This window comes from Homo sapiens, chromosome 3 (assembly GCF_000001405.40).
Source record: "Homo sapiens chromosome 3, GRCh38.p14 Primary Assembly".
Taxonomy (NCBI): Eukaryota; Metazoa; Chordata; class Mammalia; order Primates; family Hominidae; genus Homo; species Homo sapiens.
Genome location: NC_000003.12, coordinates 117,711,750 through 117,734,853, shown reverse-complemented (window position 1 = coordinate 117,734,853; position 23,104 = coordinate 117,711,750). Strand labels below are relative to the sequence as shown.

Genomic DNA, 23,104 nt, shown 5'->3' with positions numbered 1-23,104 from the left:
GATTGTACTCAGTTTTAACAAAAATGATTTCTCATCATGAATAGATATATTAATAGTTCCAGAAATAAGTTGGAAGCCCTACCATAACCACATTTTTCACAGAATTGTTGACGACGTTGGTTTCTTTGGATGAGTATTTCAGGTTTACCAGCTTGCTGCTCCTCTTTGCTCAGACAGAATCTGTAATGTACTATTCTAAACAAGAGAAAGGGTAATATTTCTCACTTAACCTCTTCAGATGACTAATCAGCAGCACATAATCATTCACATGACCTCCAAATGCCACTTCCTTGAATCAGCCGACTTTTCTGATGCTACAACCAATTAGTGCTAACACTCAATGAGATTTCAGGTGGGATGCTGCATAGTTGAAAATACTAAAAACTGAGTGAGGATACTTCCCATTTCCTTCTCTTCCCTAGTAAAACTGGCTTCTCCCTTGAGGTTACGAGACCACGTAGTATAGGCAGTAGACTAAATTTAAGCAAAAGATTCTTTTCTCTTTATACCGGAGAACCTTGTCAAATAACGTAGAATATTGTACTATGACTGTCTTCCCACCATCCCATAGCTTCACCCTTCAACCTTGAAATCTTACTCTCTTATTTGGTTACTCCAAGTGAAAAATATTAAAGGTGCCCCATTAAATGCATAAGACAAGAGTGTATCGTTTTAGTTTACTGAATCATGGAAGCTCCTATATAGGGCCATTTTGAATAATGCAGGTAGGCATCAGTTGTTCCTAGAACTGGACACTTCCCCCATTCCTAAGAGCTGTAGCCTCCCTCAAGCCACCAGATTAATAAAATGAGACAACTGTCTCACAAAATTGCAAGACTTGCTTATAAAATTGGAGGAGTGCTGTCCTTTTAATGCCTGTCAACATCTTGGGAGTAAGCAGCACAGTAATGATCAATCCCAGCTTCAAGCGATTTTTGCAAAAGTTTCTCTAAGTTTGGCCTTCTTTCACATGGCAACATCTTGGCAATCTCTCACAGTTCTTCCCTTTCTATCACCATAACAACCTTTATACAAAGTTAAGTAGTGGGAACAGGTCCATGCTCAGGAGATATAGGAGAGATTAACCATTATCGGAGACCATCTCCCCTAGTCCAATTGTGTGTTTCCAAGACTTTATCCAGAGAGTATGTGGACTTTTAAATTTTATTTATTTATTTTAATGAGTATGTGGATTTTAATAAATATGTGTGTGGACTTTTAATAACCCTAGCTAAGAAGCAGTCTCCAATCTACATTCGAAAGGTCTTTTCCGGGTCAGGGCCTCCTAACTTCCTGATGGGATAAATATTGGTGAGCACCACAGGTGTTTTCCCCTAAAAAGCACAAGGAATTTTAGTGCTGAATTTCTAACTACATCAATTCATGATAACAGACTAATTTTCTCAAAGATCAGGGGAATTGTAGGATGTCACCAATATATAAAACACATTTTACAAAGCAATATGAAATCCAGACCAAGCACCAACTGTCTGGGTGTGTCTGCTGCTGTTGTCTTTTCAGTACCACTGTGTTGGCAAAACATCTTCATAAGCTGCAGAGATGATGCAGAAGCTGCTCTGCCTTGCTTCTTCAGCCCTCAGGCTGGTAATGCCACCCAACCAGTGAGCTGTGAGGTGGAGCTTGGAACAAGACTAACAGTCATGTCAACTTCTCAATCTCTACTAACATGAAATCATTTGAAATGCCACAAGCCAGAGAGAGGGCAAGGCTTTCATCTCATGGTTCTTTAAAATCATCCTGGGCTAAGGTGGAGGCAGCATGGGCACCACCTGTCACATCAAGTGAGGAGTAAAGTGGTTCTCCACAAATAAAAATTAATTAAAATTAATAATAATAGGCCAGGTGCGGTGGCTCATGCCTGTAATCTCAACACATTAGGAGGCTGAGGTGGGTGGATCGCTTGAGCCCAGGAGTTCAAGACCAGCTCAGGTAACATGGCAAAACACCATTTCTACAAAAAGTACAAAAAATTAGCCTGGTATGGTGGTGAGTGCCTGTAGTCCCTGCTACTTAGGAGGCTGAGATGGGAAAATCACCTGAGCCCAGGAAGTTGACACTGCAGTGAGCTGTGATTGCACCACTGCACTCCAGCCTAGGCATCAGTTTTTTGAGACCGTGTCTAAAAAAAATTAATAATAATAATAATAATGTGTTATTGATGGCTATGAATTCCTCTACACATTCCCCCCTAAAAAAGTCTTATTAGCAGTTTGCTATGAGTTAAAAGAGGGAATTGGCAATAGATTCTTAAAAGAAACTTCCAAAAACAACTCAATTGTATGAATGTTGTCAAGATTTTGTGTTAGGCATGTTTTATGAATTAGTAACACTAATAAGCCTCTTACTTCCAAGAAATGCATTTCTTGGAATTTACTCAAAGCTTTTCCTTTCTCCCCTTACCTCCCTTTGATAAATTACATTTTGCCAACTTAAAGTAAATGACATTTCCCGAAAAGTTGACAAAGTACCTTACCAACAATAGCACTTTTAAAAGTAATCATCACCAATACTGTTAGAGTGAAAATAAACCACATTGAGTACAACTCAGCGCGTTTCATTTTTAATAAAGTTTCTAAACTTCAACAATATTATTGAGTGCCTGTTAAGTGCAAGGCCTCATGCTATACTCTCTGGGGAACTCAAAGATAAGCAAGACGTGTCACCAAGTCTCAAGTAACTTGTAATCAACTGAGTGCCCTTCAATAGTACACAATAACAAACCATCTTAATGAAAAGCAATAATCTAATTGATCTTTGGCACCTTGAGACTAATGACTTAAGTTATTTCATTTATGTCATGAAACAATAGCAGAGTATAGGGTCTGTTGATTGATATTTATTTAAATGACTGTGGTGAGAAATAATAAGCATCATGGTCTATTTAATTACCTACCTCCCCAGTGAGTTTTCTTTTCCATTTAGGATTAGTTTCCATTCTTGAGTTAAAAGTGCTGTGTCTATTATGGTTTTCTGGAATGGGTTCTTTGGGTGCCTCAGGAAGTTTAACTCTGCCCTCGGTCAGATATTATGTGTGAACGTGTGTGTGCATGTGTTTATTAGAGCAAGCTCTAATGGAAACACCTGCTTGTTCTTGATTCTCTTAACGAATTGTCTTGGCATTACTAAATGGCACCACAAACCAATTATGATACACTGTGTAGAAGCCATGCACTAACATTGCTCTCAAAAAGCAGGCCACTTATTTTTCTAATCCTTCTGAGAATTTTATATGCATGCATTACACCTACTCCACATGTAGGAAAATACCTCTAACTTACATTTTCATAGCACTTTACAGTTTACAAAATGTTTTCACTATCATAACTCACCTATAGCTTTTCCTCTGCTTGTAGTTTCATTTCATGATTTATACCACTATGTACATTTATGTGTGTACATGTGTGTATTGCTTAAGCTAGAAACCTTGGTATCTCCTTTATTATTGTGTTTCTTTTTATATATACATACAGCCTGTCTCCAAATTAAGTAAGTTTTATCCCTGAAGCAATCTGCCTACTTCCATCTATCCCTTAGTCCACAGTCTCAGCTAACTTGCTGTAATATCTTTCTGGCTTAATGCTACAATTTCCAGTTGGTCTCCCCTCCTCCACCTCCACATTTGCCCATCATATTCATTTCTCTACAGGCAGCCAGAATAATCTTCCAAAAAGCCAATTTGATTATAATACCCCCCTGTTTAAAACTCATCCCTGGCCCCCTTTGCCCTTAGAATAAATTATAAACTCCTTAACCTGGCCAGCTAGACTCTATTTTATCCAAGTCTTTCTCATTTTTTTTAAGCTTACTTCTTCATGACAACCCTTACATAGCCATGAAGAATTATTAGATTGAATCATATTAAACTGCCACTACTCAACCATTTTTGCAAAACAAATATGATACGTTGTTATTGTTCAAACTAAAATAGGCTGGATTATTTTTTTCCTTCTCTTTGACTTCAAGTGTGTGCTTCCTTCTACCTGAATATATTTTCTTAGTTCTCTACGTGGACAATTCCAACTTATCATTCAGATTTGAGTCTAGACTTAAAAATTCATCTTTGGAAGCCCTATCTCACTAGATCATCCTCCCTTCTAGATTCAGTTAGGTATTCTGTTTTTACCCATGTACGAATTGAACTTACTGACCAACATTGTAATTGTTTCATCTTTCTATTTTTTACTACTATGCATAAGCTTCATGAAGGCCAGGGACAGGCTTATTTTGATCACAAATATAACCCAAGTGTCCGGCACAATACCTAGCATATAGTAAGCTTTTAATAATGAATTATCAAATAAAGAATAATTAACCTAATAAAAATACGATGAATTCCATATTTATTTCCATCACCTCGTTTGGTTCTCTCAACAAATTCTAATGTTTTCTGGTTTTGACACTGTACTACCATTATGTATACTATCATTGGGGAAAGTTGGGGAAAGGATTCACGGGTCTCTATGTCCTAATTTTATAATTTCCTGTGCGACTATAGTTATTTCTAAATACAAAGTTAAAGCACAGTGATGTAGACAGGCCAAAGATGATAATTTCTAGTTGCATCTAATAAACAGGGCTTAGATAATGAGCAATTTATGCAAATCACATAATTAGTAATTGACAGACACATGACCTGGACATTTTTGAGTGAAGCCATGCAGAAGTTTTTTCCTTCCCCTGGATCTTCAAGTGGACCTAGCACCGAGTACCATGTTTTGTCCCTGAAAAACTTAATGTTGTACTCCAGATCCTCTATGTTGATTTGTAATTGTTTTCCTAAACTGAGAAGATGAACAAGTAGGAAACAGGATAACATCTTTAGGTTTCTTTCTTAAAGCCTAGATCCTAGATTCATCCTATGCAGTCAGCTTCCTCTATCTTTCCTTTTGCTCTGACCTGGACTCCCTTTACTTACTAATAAGTTCATTTGTTCATTAAACAATCTTTGTTGAAATTTGCTATGTCCCATATTATACTCTGGAAGCTGTGGAAAGAAAATAAAGTAAAATACAGCCTGCCCCCCGGGGAGCTCATATTCTAAGCAGGGATGGAGGGCAAGTGAGCACTTAACTAGAGGGCAGTGTCATAACTACTGCTTTAGCAATAAATACAGAGAGCTAGGCACACAGAGGAAGCCCCTGACATGGGCTTCAAAAGTGTGTAAGCTCTTTTTTAAGAAGGTTACTTCCAAACAGAATGCTAACAATAGGACTGAATGGCAGGGTGGGTGGGGTGGGGGTTGTTGAGGGAAAAGGGATCACGGGATCATATACAAAGATGCTGAGGTAGGAAAAGCAAGATTGGGAGGACTTTCCCAAGGAGTAGGCATGACTCTGACCCAAACAGCTCTAACCCCTACCTTTACCTTCAGAAGAAAAGTTAAGACTTTGTCTTGCTTCTCCCACCTGAGACACCTGCAGAGCAAGGTATGAGGAGGGGTGGACCTTGCTATTCTCCATTGCCAAGGGTAGGGCACTCGTCTTTTCCACTACATATGTGTGATCTTTGTCCCCAATACTGAGATACTGACCAGGCTATTTCCTGAACAGTGAAGAGAGTGTGAAAGGGAGGAAAAGGGACGCAAGGAACAAACACAACTTTTGAAATTCAAAGAATTCTATTAATTTTTCCTATTCTTGTTTTCCTTTTCTAGGTAAGTGAAACCAATTTTTACAGCACAGCAATGGTTACTGGAATCTGTCAACATGTAGTGACTTTCTTCACTGAATATGCCACGGGGAGACATTTCAATATCTTCCATCACCCCCGCTTGACTTGTGAGTCTTTATCCAGAATTTCTAAATAACCAATAAGTAACCTAGGATTAAGAAATATTTAAATGTTTACATTTGTATCTCTATGTGATGTTTAGTTATATCTTTAAGGTAAGTGGGCCTATTTAAGTCTTGATTTTAATAAGAAAAAACTAAAAGAATATTATTCTCTTTACAGCAAAATCCATGATAAATTTCCATTAAAGAACAATCTTCTTTAATGTGTTTTTCCTTATTTAATTTACATTAAATACATTTGGAGGGGAATCTTAAGATACGCATCTCTGATTGTTTGAAGCACACCTCTCTGTACACACATAGCGCTTCTCTTTTGTTCCTTTTCCCCTTAAAAGATCGACTCAAAGGTATGAATTGGCATGGTTTTTGGTGTGCTCTAGAGTGTAGGATATTAAAATACATGGCTTCTTTCCTGTTGCGTCATCCAATTCTACTCTGATGTCAGCATTTTAAAGTTGTAGAAAGTGAGTTCTTAGCAGTGCAGTGTTTAGTAGAATTTAGTTGGCAAAATGGGAGAAAAAATAGTGAAAAGAGGGAAAAGAATACTTGAGAACTCTCAAGTAAGTATTAGAACAGTGACTTCTCCTAGAAAATTGGCAGTGACTCCTCTTGGCCTCTGGCTGAGTTTGGCCACTCTTTGACTTTTCATATTTAGCAATTATTCAATTCCTTATCCTGCTTTCCAAAATCAGTTTTTTTTTTCTGCAGAGAATGCATCAGCCATGTTTTATTTTGCCATTTGCATTTACTCTGAGCATTTCAGATGTTCCAGTGAACTGAGTTGTGTGCCACTTGTGTGTAATTTTTGGTACAGGTACCCCTGTCCTTCACAGATAAGTGACACACCTCCTTATTCATAATAATTATCCTAGCTGATGGAGCTCATCGAGCCAGCCCCTCTGCTCACCTGATGGGGACAGAAGTTTCTGAGGTGCTGCTGATTTCTTATTTGAATTCTGTCATCAATATCCATGTGTGGAATTATTAATTACAACACACAATGGAATGGTCTTAGAGCAAAAGGTTGAACAGTTTTACCTGAAGATCACTGTTGGAATTGGCCCTCTGTGATACATTATTATAAACATTTCATTGTGTTTAATTGTTGAGTGCCTCACTCAATAATTTACTATTGTGTGTCAAAATGGGTCTTGCTCTATATGGTAAATGTAGGATGACTGTATTGCTGTGTATAATGTAGTTTCTAAATTCAGAAGTGAAAATGGCCCAAGTATGTCTGCTTTTAAACACACACACACACACACACACACACACACACACGATAGTACTGATGTAAAGAAAGCAACCATGAGATTTCGAATTCATGTCAGCTCCACTATAGCATCATGGATTTTATCATAATATTTGTATAGCACGATATAAAAAGAGCACTAGCTTTAGAGTCATAAAGTCAGAGCCTAAACCTAGGTTCTACCTTTTACCATCTTATGATGTGGAGTCAGGCACTTAATCTTGCTGGGTCTCAGTTATTTTTTAATAGGTAAACTGGATATAATGGTAATTATTTTCTGAAGTTATAATGAATATGCTGAGAATAAAATTTCATGAAATATTATTTGTAAAATTCCTGATACATCATAGATTATCAATAAATGGTAGCTGATGAAGGAGGAGAAGAAAAAAAGAGGAAGAAGTTAAGGTGGTTGTGGTGGTGGTGGTGGTAGTAATGGTGATGGTAATGATGTTCTGAGCCTGGAAATATCAATGTCATAGCTTCTTTTAGGCATTGATTTTGTTGTGTCTTTATGATTTCCATGTAAATGTGAACGACTACCTAACAGAGAATTTTAATTGCCAAACTCTTGATGTTGTTTACAACCGTATTATAAAAAGTAACAGATGGTTTTATTATTAGACATTAGTTATAGATTCTCAGTAGAAAAGATCCAGTTGTGATTAAGTGTTGCCAAACTGGCTAGGTCCTAATGAAGCAACTTTTGGAGTGTGACTGCTGGGATCTCAGCTGGGCTCCTGTATTGCTAACTGGGCAAGTGAACCAGTGAGTGACCAAAGAAAGAGTATTTCAAGCATGAAAGTAATGAAGCCTTCCCTTCCAGCACTCACTTCTCACCATTTTTTTAGAGAACTGTGACATTTTTTTACCAGGATGAGTCTTCATATTTCTGCCATGCTCTCACCTCCACTGTGGGCAAGAAGAGCAGTAAGAATAATAGCTAACATTTATGTACTGCTTCCTCTGTGCCAGGCACCATTCTACATGGTTACATGTGTTTATTTAAACTGCACAATAAAAGTTTGAGACAGGCATGGTTATTGATCGCTTTTTAGATAGGAAACTTTGTTGTAAAATATTTGAGTAATTTTTCCAAAATATTTGATCTTCAAGCTTGTTGCTGTAAACCACTATGAATATTGGCCTTAGACTGAGAGATCTAAAATTTCTTTACCTTTGAGTTAAGCATACCTACTTTGGTAGTATCTTTTTAAATCATAAATATCATTATTATCACTGTAATTTTTAATCTCTTACTAAGGATTACATCCCAGGGGATGTACATACGTTATCTAATTGTACTCCCATAATAACCCCTCAAGGACTGTATCTTTTCTTTTTTATTTTATAGTTGAAGAAATAGCGCTCAGATAAGTGACTCTACAAGACTGTGTGATGCAGCTAGAGAGTGGCAGAGTCTGATTTGAAGCCAGATGTATGTGACTCCAAGTCTACGCCCTTATCTACCATCCCATGATAACCACTAAACAACAGTAAATAGGATATCCTTAGTGCATGGTGTGACTATTTCAGTGGTATATGAGTTGTGGGGACTTGTCTATTTCAGGAATGTGTTCTCTATGTGGTGTCCCAGCTCGGTGTGGTGTCCCTTTACAGAATAGCTCTGTGACAGAGCCTACGTCCATGTGCCTAGGGCAGTGATGATAAAAGATACTGAATTTCTTATGGTTGCTGACCACTCAGTGATGCTGAGCAAGCCTCCATTGGGCAGGTCTATAGCCCTGTTTATTTTTTTCCTACATATCAGTGTCATGCAGGTCTATACTAAAACGTGTCTGTAATTTGGGTCCATCTCCTGTTTTCACTTCACATAATCTATCCTCTATAGCAGTTCAAAACATCTGAGTGGCAGACACTACTTCAAAAATATTCCCATTTTCATCATCACCCAAAAGAATTTCTAAATCCTCACCATCTCCTTTATTTTGCTTATATTCTCAAAGACACTAGCTATGGATTTATAAGATATGCTTCCCACAAGTAGCATTATTAAGTTAATGTTTATGCTCCTCTGAACTGTTTCATTTGAGTACAAAGCTTTGATGCTTCTTAAAACCTGTGTTGATTCTTTACACACCTGTTTGAATGAGTATATAAAATAATTTCTCAAAATAGATGTTGGTCAGGTCATGGAGAGTGACAGCATGAAGGTCCTGGGTATCTGGGGAAATGTAGCAGGCAGGAGTCATTCTACTGGAAGAACAAGAAGAGAAGACCATAATAAGGCAGGAGATATTTTTGCCGAGTAGTCAATTTCTCCTAGTGCCAATGTGATTTCTGTCACACTTTCTCTCTTAATGAGTAAGGCATAAGTTCTCTGGTAATAATTGTCTACTTTCAGAAGTTGCATGTACGATGAAATGGTCTGCCTCGGGCTATCTATGTTGATTGTTTTCGGGAAAATATAGGATAAGCTAGGAACATATATGGTACCCATTACATTCTCTTTTCCAAACCAGATTTATTTGTTTCAAGTTTGTTGGCTTAGGTCAAGATGAGAGCAAGGGTAGAATAAAACAGATAGTAAGGTAGATGGGTGTATGTGTTTTCATAACTTTAAGACTAAAAAACAAAAACCTCCAACCAATAATGTAATGTGAGAGTGCTTTTAAAACTGCGTAGTGGTTATTTTTATGGGTTTTATCATTTCCCCTCATACTAGAGACTGAAAGGAAGTCCATAGAAACCATGTATAATCACAGGAGGAAATACACTGACCAAATCTGAAGAAGTTTGATGTGTAATACTGTCAAGGATTAGAGGAAGAGAAGGAAATTCTCCAATGGTTCTGTGTTCTTATGAAGCAGAATAATGATAAAGTGACTATACGTGGAAATTTCTTCCATAAAAATAATACATTAACCTAAACATTTTAATTGATTTTTGCAGAACTCTTTACACACAAACACGTATACACAAAATTCATTTTTCTCTAGTATTTATGTGGTTAGTACCTAAGACATTTTGGAGAAATTGTATGTTTTCTTTAATCTTCACTGATAAAATGTATAGAATGTACTCCAGTTGGTCCATATCCTTCATGATGGGACTTAGAATTGAACTTAGCATTTCAAGCATTGTCTTACCAGGGCAACTCACATTTATGCAGAAAGAAAGTAATTATTCCAGGAACATATGGTAGGTATTGTGGCTGTTCCCCAGAAGAGGATGTTCTTTCAATCATACCTCAAGTTAGGCTCTAGGAGGTAGTAGTCTGGGTTGATACACACGTGTACTGCAATTAGAGAGCCTCCATCCATAACCTCTTCCTCCAACTTACCAACTAGATGACCACGACCTCATTGTTGTGGGGATTAAGACATTAATTCATGGAAATAGCTCTGATTCCCTCTGAAAAAAAATAGTTAAGTGTCCAAGATACTAGTTTTTATAATTAAACCTCACACAGGATTGTAAAGGAAATTTTCACATACTTTTCAGTGTCTTATCATTACTGCTGTCACTAATGCTGCCATCATTCTATACAAAAATTATTTCCTCTGGGGCCTTTCTGCTTTTGACAGTGGTGATGGCTCTATAGATTAATTATGGAGCTTTGCTTCCACACGGCACCACATGTTTAACATTCATATTTCTTCCTGAAGGAAAAGAAATATTTTTGACTAAAGTTTTTAAACTATAGTATTTAACTGCTGGTTTGCGCGATTCATCAAGTGTTTTCATAATCTGGTTACTCTCTTGGACTTGTAGAATTTCAAATTAGGAAGGCTAGAATTGTAAATTACTTTTGCATATACAGGCTGGGCCATATGTGTAAAGGAAAGTAGAAAAAAATTAAAGAAATGTCTTAGATTGCTGAAGGGAAATAAAGCATCCACAATTCAGAATTGCTTCAAATTATGTGGCTATTTGAGTTTTAAGTTTTATTCTGAATGATTTATTTTCTCAAATGCATATTAGACCACCAAGAGTCTTAGACTTGTGAGGATCTCAGGTCATCTGAACCTAAACTTCAGTGCTATGCAGTTTTATGTGTCATCCTTCTCTAGTAATGAGCTAGCCTATGTCTGAACACTTCCCTCAAATCCAAGATAGTCTTCATTCTGTCTTTGGATGAATTTATTAGAAAACACTTTCCTCTTTAGACCTCTATTCTCGCTTCTGGTATTTGCCAGCCTTGATCTTTTCTCTCCTCTGTGAGACTCTCAGTTGTAGCTTTGGAATTCTATTCTTGGCTGGGCACGATTGCTCACGCCTGGAATCCCAGCACTTTGGGAGACTAAGGTGGGTGGATCACATGAGGTCAGGAATCCGAGACCAGCCTGACCAACATGGTAAAACCCTATATCTACTAAAAATACAAAATTAGCCAGGCGTGGTGGTGCATGCCTGTAATCCCAGCTACTTGGGAGGCTGAGGCAGGAGAATCAATTGAAGTTGGGAGATGGAGACTGCAGTGAGCCGAGATCATGAAATTGCACTCCAGCCTGGGCAACAAGAGCAAGACTTTGTCTCAAAAACAAAATAAATAAATAAATAAAATAAAATAGAATGCTATTCTTAAACACTAAATATATTTCTCTCTGCCTTTCACATTCATCAAATGATTGAACTAATGTTATTAATTCTCAATATATCGCCTACGTAACTACTAGGAGTTTACTTGAGAACTTGACTAGATAACCCAACATACCTACTTCTGCAAAAAGACACAATCTTAGCAGTTCATGGAGGGGAGAGGGCAGACATGCTGTTTCACTTCCCCTAGCAACGTTCTGATTCAATTTTGATTGAGCAAAGTTATGCCAGGACAAATAGCTGCAGATGTTCCTTTTTTCAGAAAAGTATCACAGGACTGTACTTCTTTTAAAATAGTTTTTTTTTTTTTCTTAAAGTGATTACCTGTTGTTCTCTCAGGAATGGTCTTTCCTAAAGAAGCTCTGGCTTGCACATTGATTTCAAATTACAAAAATAAAAACTGAGAAGAAGAGAGAGAGAAAAGTGAAGAAAAGAGTAGAAGGAAAGAAGAGAGGGAGACAGGAGGAAATGGGAAAAGAAAAAAGAAGAATTAATTGAGATTTATCTTGGATGTAGAACTAACCTAAATTCATAACTCAGAGAGTAAAAAGATTTAAGCAAAAATAGTTTTGATTCATAATAGGAAGCTGAGCACTTTATACGTGGCCAATGTTGTTCTAAGGGCTTTAAATATATTAATCTTCCTAGTCTTTCCTAAACCCATTGAAGTAAGTTTGATCATCCCCATCTCTGCAATTGAGGCAACTGAGATGCAGAGAGGTCAAGTAATTTGCTTAAAATAACTCAGCTAAGAAATGATGGGGCTGGGAATTGAGCCCAGGAAATACTCTTTCAGAGTTTACACTTTTAATAACACCTCCACCAACAACAATAGCGAACATTTACTGGTCATTACTAACTATCAGCTGCTCTTCTAAATATTTAATCTCACAAAAAACTCTGGAGCAAGTCAATATTATTATTCCCTATACGTAAAGAAACAGAGGCATCAATATGTTAAATCACTTACCCACATTCACACATCTAGTTAGTGGTGGTACTGGGATTCATATCCAGCCCTGCCACTATGCTAGAGAGATAAATTGTCACCAGGACCTTCAAGATAATGGTGGTCTTGTGGATAAAAAGGGTAAGCACCTAAGCACTCAGCATATACTGCACTCCAAAATGGTGTGTGAATATTTAGCCACATATCCGTGAGTAAAAATTATCATAATGCAATCTGATTACAGAAGCACAGACAGGACACTGAGTAGTTTATCTGATGAGGGACGATAATTTTTGTCTCAGAAAGTCTAGATTGAAGATATATAGAGCAGACAATTGAAAAAGTGAAGGAAGGAAGCAAAGGTTTAAAGAGCTTTCATTTTCTAGTCAAGTTGTCTTAAGAAGGAGATAGTTCTGGAATTTGGGGAAAGCAGAATGGCTAATTGAGGTTGAACATGAATCTCTATAGAGCCAGGAACCCTGATAAGTCCTGTACTAAGACATTTTTAGGGTGCTCACCTGATTCTCCTTGCACCTTTCTCTACTCTTTTATGTTTAGGCTTTATTCTTATCCCAGTTAGATTTTGAGAAATTGAGTCAGAGAATCAACAATAATGCAGACATTTTAAATAACAGGTCTTTCTTTCTACCCATCTCCCTCATCCTCAGTCTCAGTTTTCCTGACTGACATTAATCCATGGTTACTAAAAAGCTTGCAGTCTCCCAACTCCCCCACAAGAGAGGGGGCTTTACTATATATAAGTCTTTACTTGGTCAGTTTTGCATTGGACCTGAATCCATAATGTAACTTCTGCATCAGTGCCCCCGCTGCTGTCTTTTATGCCTCTCCTTCCCTGTATGCTTGAGTGCAAAAAGTAATTTCTACTTCCTCCTTCCCTTGTGAAGCTCACATCAAACCTCTCCCTCTTTGAATCTACTCTTGCTTTAATTAGCTATACCAGAATTTTCCACACCTCTCTGGGGATGGATATCACATTAAATAAAATTGATGTTCTCCCCATGAGTTGCCAGTTTCTTATTTTTCCAAATAAATTTAATAAAATATCCCATTTACTATCACTAAATTTCTTGAATGAAAGGGCAGTTTTATTTTCAAAATATAGGAACAACACCATCTCAACATAAAGGAAGTTCCCTTACATCAGAAAGCAATTGCCATCACAAAAATATTTCAAGGTTGTTTTCCTTTATCATCACACGGCAGCATTTGGGAAACGTTTAGCTAATTACCTGTAGGTATGCTCAAATAGGCATAGCTTTCTGTGATCAATTATAAACTACCTCTTAGCAAAAGTCATTTCTTAAGGATTTGTGCTGGTACATGACTTACCCATATCATTGTTTCCACAGCTCAAAGCAATGAAGTCATAGTCTCACAGATCATTCGTGTTTGGGAACCATTGAAATCATTAAGTCTTGGTCATTTTTTCACTTGAATTTAGGGCCATATAATATCTTTTGTGGATTAACCAGAGCTAGTTATTTCTGAGTCTCATTTTTATTTATCCTTACTCTATGTCAGGCCCTATGTTAGACCTGGGGTTTACAAAGAGGACTAAAGTGGCATCTTTGTTCTTGGGTATTCGCTAACTCAACTTCACACCTAACTGCCTGCCTGCCCTCTGGACATCATTACTCCACTACATCTCATTGACTCTCACAGCCGAGCTGAGACTTACTAGTGAGGTGAGTCCCAGGGAACCCTTGAATCAAAGGAAAGAATAATGAAAAATTACTGAGCACCTACTATACTTAGGCATTTCACATAGCATATCAGTGTATGTTTTTTGTATTATCAAAAAAACCTTTTGAGTAGGTACAGTCTTCAATAATTTACCGATGAGACAGCTATCTAAGAGAGGTTCAGAAACTTGTCACAGGTTTATTAAGGGTAGCCTAAGGACTGTTCTCAAGTTTTGTTTGTCTGATTTCAAAGACCCTGAGTTTTTTTTACACATCTAGCTGCCTTTAAGAGAGGAGAACACAAAGACCCAATTTGTATACCTAGTGGAAGCTGAGCCACGCTTGATTTCTATTATATCCAACCTTTATGTTTACATGATTACCTTCTGCTCTTACCTTTGGTATTGTTCGCTTGCTGCTATTTACCTAAAACATCTGCAAAGCTATTTTAAATCAGGATATAGGTTTCAGTTCATATTTTACATCTTCAGTGAAGCACTCCCTGACCACTCCCCTATATAGTTACCTTCTCATCACTATTCCCTCTTCATGTTATATTTTTTACCACTTACTGCAATCTGTAAGTATCTTATACAATTGCTTATATTCCTAACATAAAGAGTAGTATCTAGCACAAAACATGCCCTTGATAAAATTATTGAGGTACATGTATTTTTCAGATAAAATTAGCATTGTTATTTTTTATTAGAATACCGCATCTTTGAAAATTCTAAGTATTCTTTTTCTCACAATAGATACGTTTCTGAAGAGTTCTATAGTTTTCATGCTTTTAAAAAATAAACCAAAATATGAATTTGAAATTATGTAACACATGTAGCAATTTTAAGAGACCTATAAACCTTAAGCAAAAAAAACCCCTATGTAAATAGCCTTCTTTCAATAATTTACATTTATATGTTTATCTTATAGGAATGTATCTTCCACATCTCAAAAATGACACATATTTATGATGTCTCAGTTAATGAGGAGAATTAGGTATTCAGTTTCTAGTAAGTAATGAACATCTGGATGCAGTTCTCCTCTGCTGTCAGCAGGGGTCTCAAAAAGCCTTTTACCCATCAAAATGTCTATTAAAAATTAGTGAGTTGTTTTGTTGTTAACAAAATGGAACACACATACTCTAAAATTTGTTAAATGCATTTTGTTAAATCTCTGTATCTTGTTTCTAAATGACACATGTTTGGTTTTGCTTATGTGTATTGATAACTGTTATTTAATATTTACCTAGCACTAAGTTGATAAGTATATCTTAACAAGCATCAGAACACACAGTGTGAAAATAGGACTGATTTGTGTTTCTTGAGGTTCTTAACATATTTCCTGTGTTTAAACAAGTCCAAGGAATTGCATGAAACTAATAGAATTGGTATAACAACAGCCTGCAACTCTTCAGTCTAACTCTTTCTAAATTATTCAGTGACTTGTTTGGGAAGAAGCCGATCGCACTTGCCTTGTAGAAAATGTTTTCTTCTCCTTTTAGCTCAGTCCCAACAGGGCCTGCCAGGCACAAAAACTGCCTCCTGGATGCCCATAAGCATTGCAGTCCTGATTTTAGGGAGGGTAGCAGAGGTCCCAGCAGCATTTTTACCTGCCTTCTCTCACATTTCAATAGTGTTGGCATTTCCGCTCTTCTCTCCATTCCCCAGCAAAAGGTGAGAAAAGTCTCCGTAGCAGACCACCTCTTCCAGAGTTGTTTTCTTCCCATGCACTCACCGATGTTTGCTTGTTATTCACACTGCCCTCAAGCCCTTTCTTCAAGTCGCCCTATGTTTTCACTCCCATTATCAATAGGAATTCAAGCTTGCAAATAATCAGCAGAAAAGTTAGCATTTCCAAAGCCCATTTTTACATTCACTTTCATAAGATTTCTGATAAGGAATCCTCCCAAATTAAGTGCTGATTGTTGTTGGTATCCCCTCCACCATTTTACTATATCTATCTAAAAAATGGATGAAAGGATGGACAGACGAATGGATGGATGGATAGATTAAAAATAGATACATATGAGTAAATATACTCATACTACCTGTACATATAGATATATGTATTTAGTAAATATATACTATATATGAACACACTATACATGTAAGGTGAATATATGTATATATATTTAATAACTCTAGTTTTATCTCTTTATCAATTTGTCCATCTATGTAGTAAATCCTAGGGACGCCAAGAATTGGCATTTCTCCCTCTGTGCTGACCATTGAACTGGGTAACGATGGTCAAAATCCTGCCTCCAAAACCTCATAATTTATCAAACATTACAAAGTTCAGCACACAAAAATCTCATGAGCACTTTCAAAATGATATGTAGCTAAATTCAGACACTGTGTAAAGTGCATATGTGCTGAAAGGAATAAAATAATAACACCATAATGCTAAGGTGATGTTCGATTTATAATAGAAGATATCCCCATGAAAATGTGTTGTGAGTCCAATGGGAAAGGAATGGTGTATTAGTCTGTTCTCATGCTTCTAATTAAGACATACACAAGACTGGGTAATTTATAAAAGAAAGAGGTTTAATTGACTTACAGTTCCATGGCTGAGGAGGCCTCACAATCATGGCAGAAGACAAAGGAGAAGCAAAGGCATGTCTTACATGGCGGCAGGCAAGAGGGCTTTTGCAAGGGAATTCCCATTTATAAAACCATCAGATCTTATGAAACTTATTCGTTACCATGAGAACAGTATGGGGAACCGCCCCCGTGATTCAGCTGTCTCCCACCAGGTCCCTCCCACAACACATGGGAATTCTGGGAGCTACAATTCAAGTGAGATTTGGATGGGGACATGGCAAAACCATATCAAATGGGTCAATCAGTTTGTCATAGAAGAAGAACATCCATATACAGAGAGAAAAAGGATGCAGCAGGGATGCAGAAGTTGTGAAAGAAAGCTTAAGGAATGTGAGAAGTCTCACAGTGGCTTGAGTCTCTCAACCTGGCTTGAGTCTCCTAGACTTTCTCATCTTCGAGAGGATATGGGCTCTGTCTAGTGGATTCCACACTTGTGAAGAGCTACTAACTCAGGCAATGCTAATCGAAAAAGCATTGTCAAATTCATTCTTTCACTTATTCTTTCATTAAATCACTTTCTCCCTTGTTCATTAAACTGCAAGCACATATCAGCCTCTTTTTTTCCATTGGGGTTTGCAAATGCTCTTCCTTCTGTTTAAAATGTTTCTTTCCCCATATTTTATCACATGAGCCTTATTCTCCTTTCTCAGATCTTGTTAATAATTGTTTTAAATCCTCAAAATGGCTTTTCCTGACCAAATTTTATCACAATATCTTGATCATTTTTCACAGAATCTCAAAATTTTCAGTTATTTATGCATTTTATACAAATTCGTTGTCTGTCTTCCCCAGGGGAATGAAAATGTATGAAAGAAGGAATATTTGTTTTCTTTGCTACTGTGTGCTCAGGGCCCAGGATGGTGCCTGGAACATAGTAGGCATTCGATAAATATTGGTGTTAAGTGTGTGTGTGAGTGAAACCATGTGAGTAAGTATGAAGATTCAAACTAAAAAAAGTCTTTTTGCAGAATCAAAAATAAAAATTGAATCTCCCCATGTCCAGAAGAACAGTAATTCCAAGTGCTTATACATAAATTATGTTAGGCATTAAAATTATATATGGTCGGTAGATAAATATTTAAAATACAAACTGATGCATATACTTACAGGGACATCACTCCCTATTTCTCAAAGGTACAAGTAAATATATATGTATATGTTAAAGAATTATAAGCCTCCTGGGATATTGGAATCAATATTAGAAGATATTAGAATGTCCCTGTCTTATAAGATTAACATACTCATCTTTAAAATACTCATTCTAGTCTACAAGATCTGTCATCATTAACAGCAATATCAGCATCATGAATATTTATTAATTACTTACAAGGAGTTGTACACTGGTTTAGAAGTAATCCCTGCCTAAATGGAAATTTGCAGGCTATAACAAATGACATTTGTATGGGTGACAAGGTGAATTTCTATGAACCAGCAAATGTCCAACAACAATTAACATATCATTAGATTATGCCTGTGTTCACACTTCCAGTCTCAATAAATGGTTCACCTCATTATCTAATGGTTGTTATTGAATATTAGTGCTATCTCATACATCAGAGCAGTTGTCTACTGAAACAAGTAAACTTGCGAATTGAATATGTGCTTCCTGATTTATTCCCAAGAATAATTTCTATTTTCTACCATGTTATCCTAAAGAGAATCTAAGCTCCATCAGGGCAGAGGATTCACTTATCATTTTCACAGCTATATCTCCATCTCCTCCCACAACTGTGGCTTATAACAAGTTAGGGGCAATACATATGTGTTCAACAAATGATTAAGTTCAGAAATTTTAGTCAAATATTGAGTGCTATTGCATGTCAGACAGTAGGCTAGATACTTTATATTTATTATCTTATCTAATCTTCACTACAAGTCTACAACTTTGTGATGTTATTATTCCCATCTTACAAATAAGGAAACTGAGTTTTAGAAAGATCCTCTTGCCAAGAGTACACATGCAGTCAATAATGGAGAGAGTTTTTAGCCTCAGGCTCTGTGGCTCCAGAGGTTATATACCTTCCACCATGCTATTTACACTATCAGGTCAAGAAGCAGTTGAAAGTTGATGTGGTTGGGATTCATGCACAATGAAGGCTTGGGTTGGATGGTCTCACTATGTTAATATTGTGTAGTAAGTAGGCGAGGTAAGATATTGTTCAGTAAAGTACCACAGAAGTGTCCATAAAGGCGAAATTAACTATTTTAAAAGTCAGCATAATAAAATCCTAGATGTTATGGATACTAGATAAGCTGCACTATATGATTTTAAATAAAACACTGTTGGAGAGGAAGAAGAGCATGGTACTTTATAGATTATTAGCTGCTCGATAAAAGACTAAATGGATTCTCAGTTCTGCCTCTTATAAGCAGTGTAGCTAAGGTGTATTTAGTTTCTGTGTGCCTCAGTATACTTATCTGTATAATCAGATAGCTGTCACTAATAACAAAGTAAATATAAAGTGTTACAGTGACTGGCACACACTAAATAATAAATGTTGACTATTATAATAATTCATTGATTCTATTCCAGAAATAAGATATGACAAATGTCTTCCAAGTTCTATGGATAAAAATCTAACTCAAACAATAAATGGTGTGTTTCCTATTTAAAGATAACATGAGCTGGGCGCAGTGGGTCACGTCTGTAATCCCAACACTTTGGGAGGCCGAGGTGGGCAGATCACAAGGTCAAGAGATCGAGACCATCCTGGCCAACATGGTGAAACCTTGTCTGTACTAAAAATACAAAAATTAGCTGGGCGTGGTGGCGTGCGCGTGTAGCCCCAGCTACTCAGGAGGGTGAGACAGGACAATCACTTGAACCTGGGAGGTGGAGGTTGCAGTGAGATGGCACCACTGCACTCCAGCCTGGCGACAGAGCGAGACTCCGTCTCAAAAAAAAAAAAAAAAAAAAATACTATGTATTGTGTTCATCTCTCAGTCCCTGTTCATAACTATGTGTGGATAGCTTAGCGTTGTAACAAACTTTCAATGATAAATTTGGTTTGATCAATACAATTGCCTTTCCTTTCTTTGACTGATGAAATTACTTGATTGTGTGCTTTTTGCAGAGAATTTTTTATGTATTTCATTCCTTACAAAGTAAAATGTAGTCAGAAGATATGGAGCTATGATTGGTCCAGTAGAGAATAATGTATTGTTTCGTAAACAATATCCCACATCAAACATCTCACCTACCATACTACCAATTTTGGATGGAAAGAGCCTAGAATTCCACCCTCTTTTGTCATCAGGGATACCAACACACTGGGAACAATGCATTTAGCAAGATTTTATTTATAGTAAAATCTCCTCCAAGGAAAACTCCATCTATACCAACAGTCCCCAACCTTTTTAGCACCAGGGACCAGTTTTGTAGAAGACAATTTTTCCATGGATGGGAGGGGGAATGGTTTCGGGATAAAACTGTTCCACATCAGATTGTTAAGCATTACATAGATTTTCATAAGGAGCATGCAGCCTAGATCCCTCTCATATGCAGTTCACAGTAGGGTTTGCACTCCTATGAGAATCTAATGCCATGGCTGATCTTAGAGGAGGTGGAGTTCAGGCAGTAATGCTTGCTCACCTGCTGCTCCACTCACCTCCTGCTGTGCATCTTGGTTCCTAACAGGCAATGGTCCCGTATTGGATCTGTGTCCCAGGGGTTGCTATAAAACTGTTGCAACAACGTAGACTTTAAAATGGAGAAAACCAGAATTATATCTTCTAAAAAAATAGAGTTCTCGTTTTCTGTATCTTTTCCAGGACTGATCATCGTTATTTTTCCACTCCATATTTATTATTACCATTAAACCATAAGCACTTCTTCATATAATGGCTTATTCTCCTTGAATGCTCTTTCAATTATGTATGTGCTTATAATTTGCTAAATCAATCCCCCATGTTAACAGTGTACATGTTAGATATGTACATTTCTTCCTGTTCTTCATTTTATAAATAACATTACATAAATTTTTGTAAATATACTTCTATTTATGTATATATGTATTTTAATATACTTCCTGTAGAACGAATTTCTGGGTATGGCCAAAGGGTTTGAAGACTATTATGCTACCTGAATTATAGAGAAAAATATTTTCCCAAGGGATGGCACCAGATTGTCAGTAGCAGTTCACAAGTATGCCAGATTTAACATTGCCTTTCAATTATTGAATTATTTCTTCTTCATTCTTTCATTAGTATAAGCTTATACGTCAGTTTAATATAGACTTCTGTTTGAGGTATCTGGTTTACCATTTTCAGTAACTTAATTGTAATTCTTCTTATATAATTTATTCTTTCTTATTAACCTTTTTTCCTTTAGCTATTGATATCTTGATTTTATTTTCTTATTTAAATTGGTGAGACCTTTATATAATATAGATCTTAATCATTTAATTGTGTCTGTTATATTTTTTCCATGTTATACTTTAATTTTTCTTAGGAGTTTAATTTTATGTAGAAAAATAACCTGACTTCTTTCTTTCTTTGGACATTTTAGCAACTGTAAAGTTCTTCCAAAGATGTGATAAAAATTGCATATTCTGATCCCTCTTTACCTAAAAAAGAATTTATTCGGACAAATGGTATGAAGTAGGTATCTTCTTTTTTAAGCAAAATACTAAACAATTTCCTCAGCATCATTTATCTAATTACATTTTCTGTACTTACTGTTTTATGATGCTTTCTTTGTCATATATTATATTCTTACATATAATTGGATCTCATTATATGCCTTTTAAAAACAGGATTTGACCTATATAACATAACGATGACTGGACATTGCTCCAGGATGTTGATTGAATGCTTCTACATAGCATCTTCTCTATGGCAGGTTGTTAACATTTTAATGTTTTATAGAAGTGAATTCTTAAAAAAAAAATGTTGGTGAGTGCATTGGAAACCTTTTAAAATGGCTGTAATTAGCTACTCTGGGAGAATGTTATAGGTTTTGATGGGCCCCTCAGTGGCAGTTCTAGTGGCCTATCCTATTGACTGACAAAAGATTGTGGGAGAATACTTAATGTTGTTTTAATTAACAACTCCTAAAAGAAAATGTCAATTATCTTCCATTTGGCTGAGGCCTATCCTTCCAAATTTTTTTCTTACCCCTTCTCAAATGCTACATAGAAAAATATTTGTTGTATTCCCCAATGGACATCCATCATCTTTTGGAAGTGAGAACAGTGTTTAGTTTTTATATCCTGAATTAATGATAATTTTAAGTCTTTAAAAAGAAATTATACTGCCTTTAATATCTACCTAGCAATGGTAAGTACTTAATTTTGTTTCTCAGAAGGTAAAATGGGAAGATAGATCAATCACAGAACATAATAAAACATGCGTTAATTTATTTCATGTGGAAAGAAATTATTAATAAAGTTGTCCACAAGAAAAACAGAAAGACAATAAATGAGTAGAGAGGTGATAACAACACCCCTCTTTCGTGTGTATGGCAGTGATAACAGCAGTACTTACCTCATAAAATTGTTCTAAGAATTAAACACAACGCTGTCATGTCAGTGTGAGAGCTTTGGCGGTCACGTGGCTATAATTATCACTGGTTACGTTCTACATGCATTTGAAGGTCTAGGTGCAGAAAAAGAGGAGGCTATTTCAAGTAGAGACATTGCTATCTCTGGGCTTCGGCTCAGGCTAATGTCTCTACTTATATTGGAAGAACTAGTTTAGCATTGCAGAAAGTTAAAAAGAAAAGAGTTCTTAAATTAAGCTTTAAAATTCGATGCAGTATTTATGAACATACTTTTATCTTTTCATATGGTCATGTATCAGGTAGTATGTTTACTGGTTGAGAGAAAAATGCCACCCTAAGGTTTGCTGATACAATGAAGTCATCCAAATTCTATGATTACCTGCCTTGGCCCATGTCTCCATCACTGACAGATGTCATCCTCCTACTTTTCTTAAACTATGAAATTCTAAGTACTTATGGGCTGCTAGAGATTCCTCAGTGTACACAACAGTTTGCTTATTACTTAAAAGTCAGAAAGAGGTAGGTGCTTGGGCCCAAAAACAGACACTTCTTTAAAAGGACCTTCTAGCGATAGGAAGACAGGAATCCCACCCCCTACCTTGGGAAAATGAGCAGTTAGAGAATGTAAAAGAAATTATCTGTTCCATTTATAAAAATTCAAATAAATTGTGTGCATCTAATAATAGCTTATACAATACAGATATGTATTTAAGCATTTTCT

At 36.5% G+C, this 23,104-nt stretch overlaps 1 long non-coding RNA gene across 1 annotated transcript in view, besides 1 other annotated feature; it reads right to left on the bottom strand.

Moving 5' to 3' along the window:
- LOC101926953 (uncharacterized) overlaps nt 1–14,921 on the bottom strand; it is a 74,452-nt gene extending 59,531 nt beyond the window's left edge. Inside the window, exons 1-2 of the long non-coding RNA NR_188507.1 lie at nt 14,677–14,921; nt 9,167–9,282 (exon numbers count right to left, since the gene is read on the bottom strand). This is a non-coding gene — a long non-coding RNA (uncharacterized LOC101926953). The remainder of the gene's footprint in view (nt 1–9,166; nt 9,283–14,676) is intronic.
- Nucleotides 11,693–11,862: a silencer, noted in NCBI's record as "silent region_14623". NCBI's record gives its function as "represses an Ori minimal core promoter by ATAC-STARR-seq in GM12878 lymphoblastoid cells {active_cell/tissue: GM12878}" and the evidence as "EXISTENCE:reporter gene assay evidence [ECO:0000049][PMID:35858748]".
- Nucleotides 14,922–23,104: the final 8,183 nt, after the last annotated feature.